The 19608-nt window shown below is 35.9% G+C and overlaps 1 long non-coding RNA gene and 1 pseudogene across 1 annotated transcript in view; one reads left to right on the plus strand and one right to left on the minus strand.

The window, feature by feature from the left end:
- The window catches only part of LOC105377407 (uncharacterized), a 218744-nt gene that overhangs the window by 17560 nt on the left and 181576 nt on the right, over window positions 1–19608 (minus strand). The window contains exon 3 of the long non-coding RNA XR_939176.3: window positions 2075–2219. This is a non-coding gene — a long non-coding RNA (uncharacterized LOC105377407). The remainder of the gene's footprint in view (window positions 1–2074; window positions 2220–19608) is intronic.
- On the plus strand, window positions 11466–11994 carry PPIAP76 (peptidylprolyl isomerase A pseudogene 76; annotated as a pseudogene).

The raw sequence follows: 19608 nt of genomic DNA on the forward strand, positions 1-19608 counted from the left end.
ACTGAGGAAAAGAATAAGTTATGGCTATTTTTACTGCCCATCAAATATGTTGGCATCAGGTAGATAGCATTTAGAATATGATCTGCCTATGATTGAGCGAAATATTTATGTTTTGACTTATATTTAAGATTTTCAATGTTACCATATTTTCTTTGGCTACCAAAGATATTAATGCTATTTCTGTTGAGTTTAGAAAATTGTAACAAAAAAATTAAAATGCTATTTTTCCTGACCTAGCACATGAGTTTAGGTTGCAACATAAATCAAAGTAAAGAAATAATGATTATTTATTCCTTAAATATTTTGCTGAGTGTCTACTCCTTGTCAACACCCCCATAGTTGCTGTGGCTATAGTAGGTATGGGAAAAGTCCCTGCTCTCAGTAAAAAAGTGAGAACATAAACTAAATAATTATATAAATATGATGATTTCAGAAAATGTTATGTGTCTTAAAGGAAATAAAATTGTAATTGCTTGAAATAATTAGATATGTAAGTACATGAAAGAAGGTCAAGGTGGTTGAGAATTATGAGTAAGAAAGTGAGTGGTATGGATATCAGAGTGAAAGGTGGAAAGGCAGGCTCAGTTCACATAGGACTTTTTATGCAACATATAGAACTTAGATTCATTCTAAATGTGAAATGTTTGGAGGGTTATATGGAGTGGAGTAATATGATAAAATTTATAGTTTTAAGTGACCTTTCTGGCTCCTGTCTAGAAAATGGTTTGAAAAGGATGTAGGTCATGGTGGTCGGTTGGTGAGAATGAAATGAATTAGAAGGCTTGTGCAGAAGTCTAGTGAGAGATAACAGTGGTTTGGACCAGGATTGTAGAGGAAAGAAAGTAAGAGCTTGAAGGGTTTAGGATATATTTTGGAGGTAGTCTCACAGGCTGGCAAGTAAATTGGGTCGGAGATGACGGAAAGAGGGGATTCAGTGATCCACCATGAGCAAATGGATAAATACTAGTATCACTTACTGACACAAGGAAGATAGAGGTTATGTTTAAGAGGGGGACAAGGGGGTAGGGAGGATCAAAACTTATGTCTTTAACATGGTAAGTTTGAGGCGTGGTAATTTTAAGATATCTGTTAATCATCCAAATAGAGATGCTGCATAGGTAGTTGGATATACAAGTCTGGAGGTTTGAAGTACTGAACTGAGCTGGGCATAGAGATTGGAATAATCGGCACATAGATGACCATTAGTGTCCACATGAGAGAACTAGAGAGAAGGTAAGGTAACCCCAAAGAAGTCACAGGCTTTAGTCAGATAGGAAGCCAAGTACTCAGAATGTTTAGAGAATTAATAACCTAGGGGAATTTGCTAAATAAAAAGAGAGTAGGTGTTTAAGTGGAAGCGTTTGGGGAAAGGCTGGGAAAGGAGGAGGGTGGCAGAGGATTACAGAATGGTGTAGAAGAAAAGAGGGTGAAGAAAGGAGGAGGAGAAAGGGAGAGAAGCACAAGGAAGGCAACAGATGGGTGAGCCAAAGGAGGAAGGCTGATCAAGGGGCTGAGGGGGAAGAAAGGCAGAGGAAAGGAGGTGGGACTGGCAATGAATTGGCTAAGGGGAAGATGTGGGGCACCTTGAGGGGAGGGGAAGAGGGGGAAGAGGAGGGTGGGGAGCAGAGAGAGAAGTCAAGGCAGGTGAAAGAGAAGTTTCCATAGCATTAGTTTGGAATACACAGGATTTTAAAATTCATTTGTTTTGACTTTGTTTTTACCATCTTGAGGATTTTTCTTCTCAATTTCCTGAAAGGCAATTTCAATCAGGGATGTTTTTGTTTAAAATTCAGATTAAGCTATTCTGAAGGTAATAATATTTTATATTAAATAACACTGTCATATAAATTTTCTTCTCTATTCTGAAGCATCCTATGGCATAAGCAGGGACATCATTTTATGGAATACAGTGATAATATTCAAACTTGGGTTAAGTGATTTATGGAGCTGCCAACATATTTATTCTACTGTACTTAGAGATCACTGTCATAAAGAGTATACTGGTTTCTGGTGATTGCTGTAATAAATTACCACAAATTGTACAGCTTAAACCATCATAAACTTATTCTCTTACAGTTCTGAAGGTCACTGAATTTCTGAACTCAAGGTGTCACCAGCACCACATTCCCTCTGGAAGCTCTGGGAGAGAATTCATTTGTCTGCTTTTTCCAGTTTCTACAGGCTCCCTGCATTCCTTGGATTGTAGCCTCTCCTCAGATCTGCAAAGCCAGTGGCAAAGATTTTTCAGTCTCTGACTCTGCTTCCTTTGGCTTCAATTATATAGCCTCCTTCTCTTTTGTCTGTAGTCAAATCTCTTTCTATCTACCTTTATAAAGATACTTGTAATGCCATTTATGGCCCATCTGGATAATCCAGGATAATTTCCCATTTCAAGATCCTTAACTTAATTACATCTACAAATCTCTTTAGTTAAATAAAGTCACATTCACCGTTTTCAGGGATTAGGATCTGGTTACTTTGGAGGCCACTATTCAGCCTAAAATATATAGTAATACCACAATATTAGCATTAATTTTTCCCTTGGGTATTTGAGAGATAACCCTTGTTTTATTTTATAATACTTTTATATGATCCATCTCACAATGTATATTTTTGGTGATGTGGCCCTGGGATAAGCAGGAAATATAGTTGCATTGGGAAAATGGTTCTCCAGCAAGGTTTCTTTCCATGTTGCTATTCTCACTTTTATATCTTCCCACCAGAGATATGTACAATATGGTGAGCTTGTTTTTCTCAGCTAAGCAGATGAGATGGAGAGATGGCTGTCCTAGGAACTGCAGTATCTGTCCTGGAATGAGAGACAAAGAGGACTCTCTTCAGTCTTCTCTCTTGTCCGAGGAAGACATATTTTCTCCTTTTTGGCTTTAGCTGAGCGAACGGTCTACAGTAAGACACAAAGTATCAGTATTTATGGTAGAGATGCCTGGAGGGAGGATCCTCTGATTATTCTACATGGCACCAAACTTTCTGATCTTTGAAAAATCTAAAGCACTTTGTTCAGGAGGCATAGTTTTAACCCTGGTGGCCTAAACCACAAATTCCAACTACTTAATTACATTCTGCCTAGAGTGTCCTTCCAAGTATTCCAGAACACAGTGGTGGTTTTCATTTCCTATCTTAAGCTGCTCTGTAGTTGTTCTATTGTTATTATTTAAAATTCCTGAGAACAGACAGATGCTCGTTTTGAAACAGGAATATACATTTCCTATTGAATGAGCTAATACTCTAAAATCTGGTTGCCATATTCCATCTCTAAAGTTGAATAATAAAATGCATTAGAGGAAACATAATAAAAGGAAACAGTGAAAGAAAATATTATACAAGACAAGGCATCTGTCCTGGTTAAAACCCAAACCAGTTAATGCAGAGAATAGGCCACTTGGTGACTTTGGGTCTGGCTAATGTTCTCATCTGGAACAAAAACAATAAGACACTTGTACTGGTGCCGCAAATGGACAGGCTTATTATTTTTCTAATAAAATGAGTTAAATTTGTTTGAAGGGAGGATCACAGAAGGATGAGAAGTTTCCTTACAGCAATAGCATTCCATTTAAAGTAACTCTGTTGTATATTATAGCTCCTCATTCTTCCCATCTTTAGCTGTTTCAAATCATCTTACACAGCATTCACATTTTTAACATTATAATTCACTCATTGTTAGAGTCATTTAACCATTACAAAATAAATTTAAAAAAACAGAATCAGAAAATTTTGAGAGCGGGAGGGAGTCTAGCAATGGTTTATGATTCAAAACCTCTCGCCTTTCTCTTCTGTTTCAGTGGAGGAGCTCTCTCTTCTTTGAAGACAGATCCTTTTAACTGTGCTTTGATACTCGACCCTCCACCATGGTCACTACAACCTACAAATTGGCTTCCTCTGGTATGACTTAAGCTCCTTCTATCTACTTGTCTTTTACTCTTGATATATAAACATGCTAAGTTTCTTCCATGTACAACCATAGCAATATTTTAAAAAGAGATGAGTGTTCTTTTTTGCATTTCCTGAGGAGGACTTTCCCCTCATCCTGCCAGAGTCAACTGTTTGACTTTGGGAGAATTGGAATTGTTGACTCTGGACCTGATTGAGTCAGAGGCCATCACTGTTCGGCTTTTGACTTCAGAATAAAATATTTGAGTCTACAGCATGACCAAAAGTTTTGAAAGCCAGGCTTGGCTGGGAGGGAAAAAAAAACCCTAAAACAATTTACCTCCCACTGATGTATTAAGTATTTGCCTTACCACCCTACGTTGTAGGTATTTTCTAATTACCAGGGATGAAAAGTCAAGGGATGTCATGAAGTAGGTGTGTCATAAGGGGAGGTGGGAAATCTTTCCAGTCCTATTACCAGGTCAGGGGTGGACGAAGTTTATGGTGAGACCTGCACATCCTGGTTGCCCCTCTGTAGGCCACAGTTCCAAACATGACCCATGTTACTAAGTAGGAAAAAAATGCACAGAAAAGGGCAAGGTTGATATCACTTCCTGTTTAGAATCTGGGAGGAGATGCATATGCAGGTTCCATATGCAGGTTCCTGCCATATCAAAGACCAGCCCAGGCTCTCTCTATTGGTAATCAGCATGTTAGTAGCCAGCAGGAGGCCAGAGGGATGCTTTTGCCCAACTGCATGAGGGATATGTTTTCTCCCAGCCTAAATGCTATCTTCAGAAGAATGAAGGGAAGTAGAAAACAGTGTTGATGGGAAACAACTTTCTTTATCCATAAGACTACTTTATATAAAAAGAAACTGTTTAGGTTACCTAAGACTGAGGTTAATGTGGCAAGTTTCAGTTAAACTTTTGCCTCCATTAACCCATGGGGTGAGACACTGGGTATTTATCAAATATTTTTGGATATTAAATATCTGTGGAATACCCGTCTTGTATTTGGAGTGCTTGTCACATTTCTAGCACAGCCTAAGGAAGCCAGAGTTGATTCTGCCAGGTTTCCTTGTTACTGAGGTGCAGATTCTTCTCAGATGTGCTCAAACACAAAAGTGAGCAAAGTGCCACAAACACAGCAGCAGTAGCATCTGGTTTTTTGGAGGCAGTTGTGACAGAGCTTCTGACATCAGGCCCTGCTTTTGTTGGCATGAACTGTGTGTGGGTCTCTAACATCAGTGCAGACTTCATTATCATTACTAATGCTGAGTAGTCATGGCAGAGTGTTGTTGTTGAAGTAACCATATTTTAGGAGCCACCTAGAATGTTTTAAAAATTCCTTTTCCATTTAAGCTCATCTTAGGTAGCTAGGAACTATAGCTAGTAAGAGTCAAATGTATCCAATGCTTACTATGTACTATACACTGGTTTAAGCACATCACATGTATTATTTACTGCAAATAATTAACATTGGCAATATTAATAAAATAGATACCATTATTACCTACATTTTACAGGTGAGGAAACTGAGGTATATGGAGATTCAGTAATTTGCCCAATATTAACCAGTAAGTGGTAGACCTGGGATTAAAACCCAGGCATTCCAGCCTCAAAGCTCATACGTTAATATTTCATACCTCCCCTTTTGTTGCCTGTTTTTATAGTGCATAAGTAAATCACAAACCCCATGAACATACATTGAGAATGCTTTCCACCTATCTCATTTCTGCATAAAAAACTATGCTATTTCCTATCCTTCTTGCCATTGCTAGACATGTTGAAAGCACGGCTTACTTTTGCTTTCCCATTCCATCCCCTATCTTCCACTTCCCACTCCACTGATCTATGGCTTCCTTTCCTAATGTTCCCTGTAACTGCTTCTTGTCAAAGTCACCACAGGTGTTATCAATAGTCTCTTTTCTGGTCTTTATTCTGACTCTATCTCCTATGCATTTGGTATGTGATTCCTTACTTCTTTCTTGATTCTCTTTAGCTGTGCAGTTTCTGCGATATTTTTGTGTCCTGCTTTTTACCCACAACTCTGTCCAGTGTTTCTTAGGGTCCTTTATTTATTCTATTTCCTCTGACACACCTTAGAGACCTTTTAAAATTCACAGTCTCATTTTCCTTTTACATTTTTTACTTTCCCTGGATAAACCTATAAATATTCTAGATACAGAAACATTGATAAACCCCTAATTTATACCTTATTGTACAGATTTCTCCTAAGATCTAGAATCACATATCGTATTATCTGCTGGAAATATGTTCCAAAGGTATCTCAAGTTCAAACTAATATTCCCCACATTAAGCTCATCTTCCCTTTTTTCTCCAAACTTCTCTTGCCCCTCCATTTCTATTATTAGATAATACTGATTAATTTTGTTTTCCTCAAGTCACTTCTCCAGTTAGCCATGAAGTCCTAGATACACTCTGGCTTTCATGTCTCACGGCTATCCCATCCTTACCATCTCTACCAGCCCTGTTTTTATCCCTTTGTCCTGCTTCCTGCAATAGCCTTCCTAATTCATCTGCATGGGGTTTCCTTTCTACGTTTCCTACATCATGCACAGTAAGCTTTCCAAAGCATAAAGGTAATTGTTTTACTCCTCGCTTAACATCTTTATGTGTCTCATTACTTTCAGGGTTCAGTGTGAGCTTCTCAGCCAGACCTGTGTGATCTGGCCTGTGCTTATCTAGATACTTTATTACCATACAACTCTGTGTCTACATACCACATTTCATCTAACTTATTTATTTGCAGTTCCCCTAATACACATGCTATCTCATGCACCTGTTTGTGTTTACTATTAAATTCATCTAACACCATTGGCTTACTTTAACTGATCCATCAAAATTCATCTCAGATTTTACCTCTTCCCATGTCTTTTTTTGTGTTCTTCCTAGTGGTAACAGTGTTAACTCTGTCTTACTCACTAAACAGACTTTCAAAAGGCATTTGCTATATCTTTTATCTCAGGATATTCAGGACTTCCATGATGACTGGACTATTGTAGAAACTAAATATTATTTTACCAAATTAAATGACATCAGAGAGAGATATATATATTTATTTGAAAGTTGAGTAAACTAAGGTTCCGAGGGGTTAAGCAATTTGTTGAATGTTAAACTGCTAGTAATTAGCAGACGTGTAACAACTCTTCACTGTTCTTTAGTTTACATTCTCAGGACTTAATAAAAAGCATAAAATGTAGAGGAGACTCAATATATATTTGTTGAAAGGAGAAATGGAAAAAGAAATTAGAAAAGTCTCAATCTTTTTAAACAAAATGCTACAAAGAAGTGAATTTCAAAATAGTACAAAGGAGGAAAGCTATAATATATTATTTTATAGCAAAAGTATCTTATTATGAAATGTAATAAATGATTTGAAGCAAATTTTTGAGTGTGGCATTTTGATTTTATAGGGAGCCAAATTGTATCTGTGTTTTTCATTCTTTAAATGTGCCATGTAGTTAATTATATTGAATAATATCAAATTAAAATTAAGATACAAATAACTTCCATGTGTAAAGGAAAGTAAACATCTCCCAGATTTATAGTAATATTTTGAATGTCTAAAATATTTTCTCATAAGCATGTCTTTTAAAATTAGTAAACCTATGGAGATTACTATATGACATAGACAGGATTTGAAAACATGCCCTGATGATCTCCATCCTGGTGTTATGCCTCATGTAATTTCTTCCCTTTGAGTGAGGGAAGGGCCTATGATTTGTTTTTTTGTCAAAAGAATATGGCAAAGGTGATAGGATATCACTCCCATGTTTGTACTATGCTTTATAAGACTTCTTTTAGCAGACTAGAGCCAGAGTGTCTCCCTTGCTGGCTTTGAAAAACTAATATGCCATGTTATGAGAGGGCCTGTGAGAGCATCACCTGACAGGGAACCTTGGTGGTCTGGAAGCTGAGAGTAGCCCCAGTTTCTAGCCAGCAAGAAAATGGTGAAGTCAGTCGTACAACCACAAGGAGTTGATTTCTTCCAGTACTCATGTGAGCTTGGAATAGACCCTTAGCTTCAGAAAGGAATGTAGCCTGGCACTCACCTTAATTTTCTCATCCTTGTGAGTTTGAGCCAATGATACAGTAAAAGTGAGCCTGTACTTAATGATCCACAGTGACTTTAAGATAATACGTGATGTTTTAAAACTTGCTAAGTTTGTGGCAATATGTTATGCATCAGTATAAAATGACTGCAGGTGCCTCTTCAACCTGTTTAATATGACAAGACTTGCTATAAACTTCTGAATTTTGAGAACAAATAAATACATTAACTTTTGAAAGGCAAAGCTTAAAAGCATTAAAGGAAAATAAAACCTATGATATCTTAAATAATTTGGGTTCCAAAAAATGACCAACAAATTGTTATGAGAAAAATACATGATAAATCAACTGAATGAATGAAAATGAATAGCAATGTTATATATTCATTTTAATGAAATGGAAAATAAAGGAAAATGCAACCATGTTTATCTTGGGTTTAAATCAGTATTCATTCACTGCTCTGTTTTAAAGTACTTTATGGTTATGGTTGTTTTACAAACCATGGCAGCTCAATCTCTATTTTATTTAGAAAAGCAAAAATATGTCAAAAATAAATAAAAGTTATACAAAACAAGCAATAATTTTTAGAGAAATAATGCAAACTTCAATTACTTCTAATATTATTTAACACTGAATATCAATAATCAGCTTCTCTAAAATAATTATGTCTTATATTGATCCTTTCCCAAACATATTTCTTCCTTTCACAGGATATTAAACATCTGATTGGGTCAATATAAAAAAATAACTTCTAACATTTACTTTAAGAATTTTTCAACTTAAGTTTAAGAATATAGCAGAATAAAGCTTAAAGAAAAGAAATGTTGAAGCAATCAAACACTTAGTAGTTTTAATTCCTGATTTCCAAAACTTATCAGAGGGAAAAATTAAAAATGGCCTATACATATTTTAGACTGTTATGTTCAATATAAAAATTCAGATGTAACAGACACCTTATTTGGAAATTTGGTAGATAGAATCTGTCAGGGTTGATCACAACTTGGAGAAGAGACCCAGAGACTGTTACATTGGGCTTGGGACTATGAGAATTTTATTTACTTAAAAAAAGTATGGAGAATTTAAATGCTCAAAATTTGCTATTTTAGGACACATGAAACTGAAGTAATGACTTTTATAGCTGCCTAACTACCTCTCATTTGTAGTTTTAAAATATTAAAATTAAGAATATTGGAAATAAATAAATGATACCCTAAAAATTTCTCTTCCAACTGTGTGAAAAATACAACAGTTTCATGTTACTATCACCTCTCCTATTTTTCTTGTCTTAACAAGACTTTGCTAGTTCCAAATTCTTAAGTGTTCTGAGTAGTCATGACATTATCATTCTGTATTTGTGATAGAATGACTAGCCTTAGATAGCTCATAGAAATTGTTATTCATTTCTTGCTTCATGATGTTCAGGGTACAATATGTACCAACACTTTTTTCTCTGTTTTCCTTCCTGCAGCTGATCTGATATTAAAGTGCTGGCTTTAATAAGTTTCCACTTCAGTCTAAAATAGATAATGTAAGAAACCAGAAAGCAGAGGCTGCCAAAGCTCACTGTTTCCTGAAACCAGATTGCTATTTTACTTCTTCCATTGTGAGAAAACACAGGCCTGCAGAACCTGCCCCACCTCTTCCTCAGAGTCAATTGCACCGTCTGTGATCCAGTCACTTCACTGAGGAAGTGCTCTATGTTGAGGGCTATCATCCAATTTCACTTCTTACTTTATTGTTTGCTTTTTTGTTTAAATTTCATTGCTTTCACATCTGGCTGGTGCAGCTTTTATGTGGTATTAAAAGTATGTGTCCAAATATGTGTCCCAGATGAACATCCTGTTTGCCTTTTGATTTAAATTTCTGTTTAGTAAACCTTTGTGGTTTGGATACAGTGAGGAGTATTTTCGGCAGAACTCCCTACCCACTTCCTCAAAAATAATGACTCCCCTGTCCATTCCTCCCTTCCTTACGTCCTCTGCTAAATTAATACTGTCTATCAGATGCATTCTTAGTGATATTCAAGAATATTACCTCCTCTCATGGTGATAAAAATCTATATCTAAAACATTACCGTTTCAGAAGCTCTTTCCACAAAAAGGCTATTTTACATGCTCTGTCATTAGCAGCAAATTGAAAATGTACCCATCAGGCCCTGGTAGAAAAATAACCAGTTTTTGAATTATGAGATATTTGCTTCATTCAGAGAAACATAAACAATGGCTTTTGAAAAAATAGGTTAGCAACTGTATTTTTTCTAGTCAAAATCAGAAAAGAAATATGGTTAAGGTATTTTAAAAATATTTCCTGCAAATTGGTCACAGAAATTCTATCACAGATGAATATATTTACTTGACATATTGCATAAAATTATTTTTTTAAATAACTGTGGTTTAAGCCAATTTTTTTGAAGCAAAATCTTTGGTTGTTCTTGGCATTTCTTAATTTGCTTACTTGGGGGTATTCTCCCCAAATCCACACATATAATTTTCATTGCCTCTAAAAGGGGTTATGAACACACATCTGAAGGAGAATTGACCACTTGTTTTTTGATGTTTTAAAGCCAACTAAAGCATAAACCTCTTGTTTCCTTTCTGATCCCAGGCTTTTTCAATAAGAACAATGCTTATGCAAGATTTCCTAGGGGGATTTTGTGGTTTGAGGTTTTAATAATCTAGGCTAAAATTCAAATAGGAACCACAGCTGCTTGGATAAGACTCTTAGACCTTTTCATTTGAACTGTAGTGAACTTACCAGAATTTTTAACTATTCTGAGCTCTATCTGATATACAAGCAGGGCATGTGGTAGCTGTATTTCCCACATAAGAATATCTGTATACTTGCAAATTGTATAAAATAATATAAAATAATATGCATGTTTCCTTTAATACTTGTTAACTTGTTTAAAACAGATTTGACTCTTTTAAACAGCGATGAATATTGGTGTTCTGATTCAGTAAGGGGAAGCTATGAAGAATACTTTAACAATTAGATCTTCAGGACTGTTAAAATAGAATCTCTTCATTTTCTGAAAAAAAAAATAAGCTATGTCTTTGCTATATTACTCTTTCATGATACTTTTTATAAAATTGATTTTGTATACAGATGCCCCTTTACTTGATGGGGTTAAGTCTCTATCTTTAAGCCAAAAATGCACTTAATACACCAAACCTACTGAGCATCATAACTTAGCCTAGCCTAGCTTAAATGAGCTCAGAAAACTTACATTAACCTGTAGTTAGACAAAATTATCTAACACAAAGCCTATTTTATAATAAACTGTTGGATATCTCATGTAATTTATTGAATGCTATACTGAAAGTGAAAAACAGAATGGTTGTATAAGTACTCAACATACAGTTTCTGCTGAAAGCATTTTGCTTTTTCACCATTATAAAGTTGAAAAATAGTAACTATTGTAAGTCAGTGACCATCTGTACTTCTAAAATAGTAGTATTGTGTTTAAAATGTAAGATTTATTGAAGAATCTAGGCTTTACCGATGCCACTGGCCAACCAGAGTCCCCTGTTACCAGCCATGGTCAACCCCACCGTATTCTTCTACATTGCCATCCCTGGTGAGCCCTTGGGCCCCAACTCCTTCGGGCTGTTTGCAGAAATAATTCCAAAGACAGCAGAAATATGTAGTGCTCTGAGCACTGGAGAGAAAGGATTTGTTATAAGGGTTCCTGCTTTTGAAGAATTATTCCAGGGTTTATGTGTCAGGGTAGTGAGTTCACATGCCATAATAGCACTGGTGGCAGGTCCATCTATGGGGAGATATTTGATGAGGACTTCAACTTGACGCATACAGGTCTAGCATCTTGTCCACAGCAAATTCTGTACCCAACACAAATGATTCCCAGTTCTTCATCTGCACTGCCAAGACAGAGTGGTTGGATGGCAAGCATGTGGTCGTTAGCAAGGTGAAAGATTGCATGAATATTGTGGAGGCCATGGAGCGCTCTGAGTCTAGGAATGGCAAGACCAGCAAGAAGATCGCCATTGCTGACTGTGGACAACTCTAATAAATTTGACTTGTGTTTTATCTTAACCACCAAATCATTATTTCTACAACTCAGGAGAGCGCCCCTCCACCTCATTTGCTCGCAGGGTCCTAGAATCTTTGTGCTCTCACTGCAGTCCCTTTGGCTTCCATATTTTCCTTATTCCCTTCCATGCTTAGCTGGATTGCAGAATTAAGTTTATAATTCTGAAACAAAAACTAAATAACAAAAAAGAAGATCTATTGAACAGTCTGTTCACCAAGTTCCTGAAGTATGAAATACATTAAATTATAGCCATCAGGTATATTTAAATGAGGCTCCAATGTTCATATGAAAGGTAAACATTCAGAGTCTATCACAGTGTTATAACATTATTTAAACATTTATTTAATCAACAAATGACTGCATACTGAGGAATTTACAAGTAGAGAATATAATAGAGAGAAAGTTTATGAATGGTCCAGCACTAAATTTAGGTGAAGGGCCTAATCCAAAGAGGAAAACTTTTAGAGCTGGGAAACCTTAGATGACTTCAGGGCTCCTTTTCAGGGCATAGAGCCTCAAAGATGTTGGGTCTGCAGCCTGGGAGGCATTTCTCTGGGAAAACATAGCCTTGGAAGGATACCAGGCTTGAAGGTCTCTGCCCTTGCTGGGTATCAGCCCCGTGTGCCTTTACACACAGTGAAACTTAGTGGTTCTCACCTAACCAGTAGTTTGCAAAGTTTTCTACAGAATCTTATATGTTTACAGAATTGTATGATGGATTTCCATAGGGAGAGGGGTGTTCTCTGTTGATGAGTAAGTAGGATCTGGATATCTCCTTCAATTTTTGCCAGAACTGTTCCACATTTTATCAGCTTTATATTAATTTTCTGGTTAAGATTTAATTTAAACCCAGCCTTTGAAGAAATGAAAAAGGACAAGTTTAATTTCTTGCATTATAGAGTATTAAAAGAGTCATAGCCTACCACATATTTCCTATGACCCCTAACTCTGAATACGAATGGTTAATAGATCGCCCATGTTATATTATGGCCAAGGTAGTGTGTGGGACTCAGATGACACCAGCTGAATCCCAACACTTCAGAATTAGACATTACACTAAACTGTTGGCAAGCATGTGCTAAAAGAAAATTTGGTAGATAACAGGTACAAATGATAAATGGCTTCTTGAAAAGAAATCAACCAAAATGTTAGGGTTGTTAAGATAAATGTTAAGATTTATTATCCTGGCAACTACAGATACAAATCAAAGCATCTTCTGTCACTTTGGTCATCTATAAGCCCTCTGCATTGGATTTCCTTTCTCTACTGGTTGGTTCGGTAATGCTTTCTCACTATTCCCAGATAAAATATTACTGATAATTAATTTTAAGTTTTTATAAAAGAATATGAAATCAGCTGTTTCAAAATCTGGGTGTACATTCTAAAGGATAGCAGGATTCTCTGCTCCTTCAGAAATATGCTTTCCTAGAACAATAGGCTTTGAAGACCATTCTCACTGTTCTCCAACTTGTGAATGCAGAGACAAATGAAGGACAGCACTTTCTAGGGATAGATATTCCTTGAATGGCTTGCTTTGACAACTGCAAAAACTCTCTGCATGAATATCCCATTTGAACCCCTACACTAAGAGACTTGACCAAATTTTAACACAACTTCCGGTAGCTTAAGGCCACTTTGCTGGAACAACCTAGCCCCCATTTCAAGTTTCAGTCTGTCTGAAAATCTCAAGGCTGTCAAAAGAAGTTAGTGTTTGTTTTAGGCAATACCTGACCATAGGTCCCTGACCTCTCTTTCTTAGCATTTGCTGAAAGGGGCTTACAATATTGAATTTTCCACTGTCCTTTTGAGATGTATATGTATCTCCTACAACTCAAGAGTGTCTTTCTAAGGATCCGAAAGCCATTCCTTTGAAATATAATCATTGGGAAAGACAGGGCCTCTGTCTCACAGTCTCTGGGGGAGGATAGAATCCTAACTTCCATAATTGACAACTAGCAGACAGAGCTTCCCTAATCACATTTGTACTGACCAACACTTTGTAATTTTTCAATTGAGTCCCCTCTTCTTCTCCCTCCCTACACCCCATTCTCCCTTTAAAATTCCATATCATCTTTCAGCAAATTGGAATGAAGCTTAGCTCTTTTCCTTACTGTCAGTAGTTAGAGAATACAATATTTTCAACACTTTAACTAACGTCCAGCTTTGTGTATCTTTGAGAGTTTTAAAAGAGGAAACAATGATCTGGCTCTTGAGGGAGATTGTGGAAAATGGTCTGTGAGGAAACTGAAGCTTAGCATTGAGGGACCTTGGTTTTCAGGAGCTTACTAGCAATGCTGGAGAGTAGTTCAGCAAGTCCTTGAGGGTGATGGGGCTGTCTTTGATAAGAATCCAAGAACATGTTACTTGATTCATACACAAGAGGCATAGAATCAGGAACTACAAGAGATAGGAAGTCTGGTGGAAGGTGAGTTAATTACCAAGAAGTTATCTCCCAAATTGGAAAAGACCTGATAGGTTTGAAAATTGTTGAGATAGTTTAGCTGTAGTTTGCATACTCTGACAACAGTTTGAGGCCCCAGAGGGAAGAAAAGGCTTTAAACTCTAAGTAACTCTGAAAGCATTAACTTTGGAAATCCTCTGGAGTGAGGCAGGCTAGGAGAATCAAGTTACATGGGCTGCCATTTAATCAACATAAAGAATGATATCATTCCATGGAAATCTCTGAAAAGCAGTCATGAACAAAGCATGAGACAATGATAATAAAGGATAGGATTATTAGATATCTCAATCAGCAAGGACCATTGAGAAAAACTAAAAAGGAAATGTCTCTTAGTTACCATGTCCAATGTGCAATAGGTAAGAACTTACCAATTTTCTTTCAATTGTTATGTGAAAATTATTTATACTTTTGAAAAGCTTTTTCCAGATCACGCCTGTGTTAGTCCATTTTTATGTTGCTGATAAAGACATAACTGAGACTGGAAAGAAAAGGAGGTTTAATTTGACTTACACTTCCACATGGCTGGGGGGGTCTCATAATTATGGTGGAGGGCAAAAGACACTTCTTACATGGCGGCAGCAAGAGAGAATGAGTAAGAAGCAAAAGCGGAAGTCTCTGATAAACCCATCAGATCTAGTGAGACTTACTCACTATCACAAGAATAGCACGGGAAAGACCAGCCCTCATGATTCAACTACCTCCTCTTGAGTCCCTCCCACAACACGTGGAAATTCTGGGAGATACAATTGAAGTTGAGATTTGAATGGGGACACAGCCAAACCATATCAACACCCAATATTGTACTTCTTTTAACAGATTCAGTATGGATTAGAGGAAATGTAATGTTAAACATTGGGTATGTAAAACATGAATAATATTTCTTTGCTGGTTAAATATTGCCAGTGAGATTTCATTGGATTGGTACCGAACATGTCTAATTTTATAGTTGTTATAATGATTTGGATAAGGATGACATAGTCACAACTAAGCTCTTCAGTGAAGCAAAGTATGCAGTTTTGTAGCTACATTTCAGAACGATTTGATAAGGCTGTATAAGTAGGTACAATAATATGATGACCAGTTACCTAAAGTATCATATTTCATCTATATAAAAGTTATAACTGGATGTTGCAAAGTAGAAAAGAGTTATTCTTACTTTGCCAGATATGTCATGAGAAAAAAGACATTGCTGAGTATAAATAAACATTTTGAGCCCAAATGAATGAGAGAATCATTTTTAGCCAGGACCCAGAAGTTTATAAGAATGATCAAGATAGAGGGTGGAGACAACCAACACTGTAGTTTGGGAAAGTCCAAGATTTAATCATTAACAATTTCAGCTGCATCTTCCTCAATCTTATTGCAGTTTACATCAGTTCCTTTTTCATGAAAACTCTGGCATTTGTTTGGTTTGTCTTTTACTTTTCAACCATCAGGTCCTTTACTTTTCGGACTCCTCTTTTTCCTATCCCCCAAAATGGGCTGTTCCTTAAGATCCTATTTTCAATTCTCTTCTTCCACTACAGGCTTTTATTTAAACATTTTATTAATTTCATTAAATGTATTAAAGCAAATACATTCAAAGCTCTGGCACTGTCTTTGCACATATTATTGTTCACTGGATGGTAGTAGATAATATTTCTCCCTCTGATATTTCTTCTACTACTATAAACAATCACAGGAGCTGCTGCCCCTTAACCACGGTGAACCTGTCTCAACACCGGTGAATTAGATGTAATATCTACTTCATAGGATTAGCTTGAAGACCAGATGAGTCAATATATAAAAAGTGACTAAGCAAACTGCTTAGCCTGAAAATAATCTATTTCTTTTTCTACATTTGCTTCTTGTTTTGACCTATCACATGAGGGTGATTCTCAGGTTGTTCTCCATTTTAAATTGCTCTCCCCCACCCCTCCTTTTTTTAAAAACAAAAAAAGTATTAAAGGTCTAAATTGCTGTTGAACATCCCTGATTTGAGTTTATTTTTAAATAAGAAAATCTTTCTTTGGCTGTTGAGATGGAAACATTATTTCTGTATGCTAAAAATATTTCATAATAGAAAGAGGGAGAAAAAGCAAAAATAAGAACTCATTAACTTTCCATTTATATCTACATTTTTTCCTGACTTTTCTTTTTCCTTTGGGAGTTCTACCATCTTTTGTGCTGCAAAAGTTGATATTTCAGCTTCAATTTTTGAAAATTGATAATTTTTCTTATTACATAGCAATATATGTTTCATGATATAAAATTCATAAAATAGGACTAATAAAAAAAGACTATAAAGAAACTCCTAAAATTTCACCAACCTGAGGTGATATTTTGATGTATATCCTCCAGGTACATACGGTATATGTATTTGTATATTGAATATGTATATCATTTTATCAACTGCTTTGTTTCATTTAAAACATAGAAATATTATCTACACCATTTCTCAAATTACATGTGTAGCTGATTATAATTCCATTTAACTTGTTTATAATATTATAATAAACAACCTATAGCAAAATTTTATGTCATTTTGACTTAAAAAATTTTTCTCCACCATATTCTATTTTTGTTTTGATTTTTTTTGCAAAATTTTCCTACATATATTTTGTTTATTTCCACTGTTATACTAATGTATTCCTTTTACTTATTGTGAAGGCTAGTAAAATAGAGTAATTCAATTCAGCTTTTTAACTGAGAATCTACTGTAGGTCAGATATGTTAAGTACTAAGTTAAGTAAAGAAAGATGAATAAGAAAAAATTCTTTCTTTACACTGGTAACAGAGATAGAAATGAAACTTTTAATGCAGTGTGGTGTATGTGATACAAAGTGCTTGCAGAAAGCAATTATTGGAGTAATGAGTAGAAATTCTACTCACAAGTATACATTTAATATGTTACACATTTTATGAAACATATATACATTTTTAAGAATTGTAGTGTGCTATTAGTTGGTATATTTTGAACTATTACAATTAAATATTAAACATTATTAATATTTTAAGTGTTAAAGATCAAACAACACATCTCAATAAATTTAAAAAACATTATATTAATGAAGCACACCTATAATCATAAAAGAGAAGTGACTTATAATTTATTTTTAAATAAAAGGAGCATTGAATCTATACATATGTTAACACTCATGGAGTCAATACCCAACCAAGACTGGGGAGATGTGGGGATGGGGAATATGAAAGCTGTGCAAATGTCAAATACCTAGTTCATTTGAAATTCAAACTTAACTTCGTGTTTTGTATTTTTATTTGTTATTAGGTTGCTGCAAAAGTAATTGCAGTTTTTGCCATTAAAAGCAATTACCAAATTACTTTTGAATCAGCCTAATACCTCTGTCAATCGTAAGTCTAGGCTATCTCACTGAGGGTAGAAAGCCTGACGTGAGATATGAAGGATGAGAATGACCATAAGAAAAGCTAGGATACTGCAGGAAACAGTAAGTGCAAAGTCCTTACAGCAGGTAAGAGATTGGCCTGCTCCACAAACAGAGAAGGAGTGGGCACTGGAGCACAATGAACAAAAGAATGTTGGAGAAACAGAAGTTCAATAAGGTCACCAGAGAGAGGGAACAGCAAAGAAGGAATGATGATGCTACTTGTCAAATTCATAGAACACATTGAAGAAAATGCTGTGGATATTAATGTATTTCAATCAGGGGATCAAAAAACCAAAATCATATTCCAGAAAAAGCATATTGACAGTAGTGTTTAGGAAAGATTGGAGAAGATTAAGGGTGAAAGCAGTTAGTTTCAGTTAGTCATGTGAACAAAAGAGGAGAGCCTGCATTAACAAAGGTAGAAAATACCCTTCATATGAAATGTGAAGTTAAGTTTGAATTTCAGATAAACCAACTAGTTTATATTGGAAGATAGTGGGTTTTAAATTTCTCATTTGTGATCTACCATTAGAAACATTTTAATCCAGTACAAACTATGTGCATGTGCATGTAAACACACACATATACACACCTATTAAGAATATTACAAAATAATAATGTACTTAGCCTTACAACAGGAAATCCTCTCTGATATTTTTATTCTAATCATATCTATTCTTTCATTAAAAATCATTGGTAACTACCCACTAATTTTTATATCTACAAATGGATTATGATGAATAATTTAAAAATATTATTTTAAGAACAAATTCAGAGTAATGTCAGCAAGATGAAAGACTAGGAAGTTACGCTCTCTTTTCCTCACAGAGACACTGAGTAACAACAATAGATGAACCAGAATACCTCCATAAGAATTCTAGAGGTCAGTCAAAAGGCTACAGTGCCCAGGCCACTGTAAAATCAAGATGAAATCCAGTGAAAGGGTTAAAAAATTTGTAGCATTTGTCATGCCCATTTATGCCCCTTTCTCTGCATAGCTAGTGCAAAAACAATTAGAAGAAAACCTCTTATACCATGGTCCTTTCTTAGAATGGAAACAAAAGGGTGCACCTTGAATCTAATGCTCTGGCTTATTGGGGACTGCCTGTATTAGTCCATTCTCACACTGCTATAAAGAAATACCTGAGTCCAGGTAATTAATAAAGAAAAGTTTAATTGGCTCATGGCTACACAGGCTATACAGGGAACATAATGCTGGTATCTGCTCAGCTCCTTGGGAGGTCTCAGGAACTTTACAAACATGGTTAGAGGTGACGGGGGAGTGACCAATTCACATGCCTGGGGCAGGAAGAAGAGATAGAGGTAGGAAGTGCCACATGCTTTTAAACAATCAGATCTCATGAGAACTCTATCCTGAGAACAGGATCAAAGGTGGAAATCCACCCATAATTCAATCACCTCCCACCAGGCCCCACCTCCAACACTGGGGACTACAATTGGACATGAGATTTGGGCAGGAACACAAATCCAAACCATATCTCTAGCCAAGAGACTGGTTTCTATCTCACCTGACTCAGATGCAACCAGTGTCAGAGTATAAAAGCCACTGAAAACAGAAGTAAGTAACATGCTGCAGTTCTGCAGGCAAATGCCAGGGTGAGCAAAAAATCATAAAAAGTTTGAGAGGATTAGAACCTCCAGTTAGCCCAACTGGTGAAAATCTTTCTTTGCACAAGGTCAGTATGCAAAGACTGGGACTGGTGGTCATTTTTCAAATGAGCAAAT

Source organism: Homo sapiens, chromosome 4 (genome assembly GCF_000001405.40).
Source record: "Homo sapiens chromosome 4, GRCh38.p14 Primary Assembly".
NCBI classification, from domain to species: domain Eukaryota; kingdom Metazoa; phylum Chordata; class Mammalia; order Primates; family Hominidae; genus Homo; species Homo sapiens.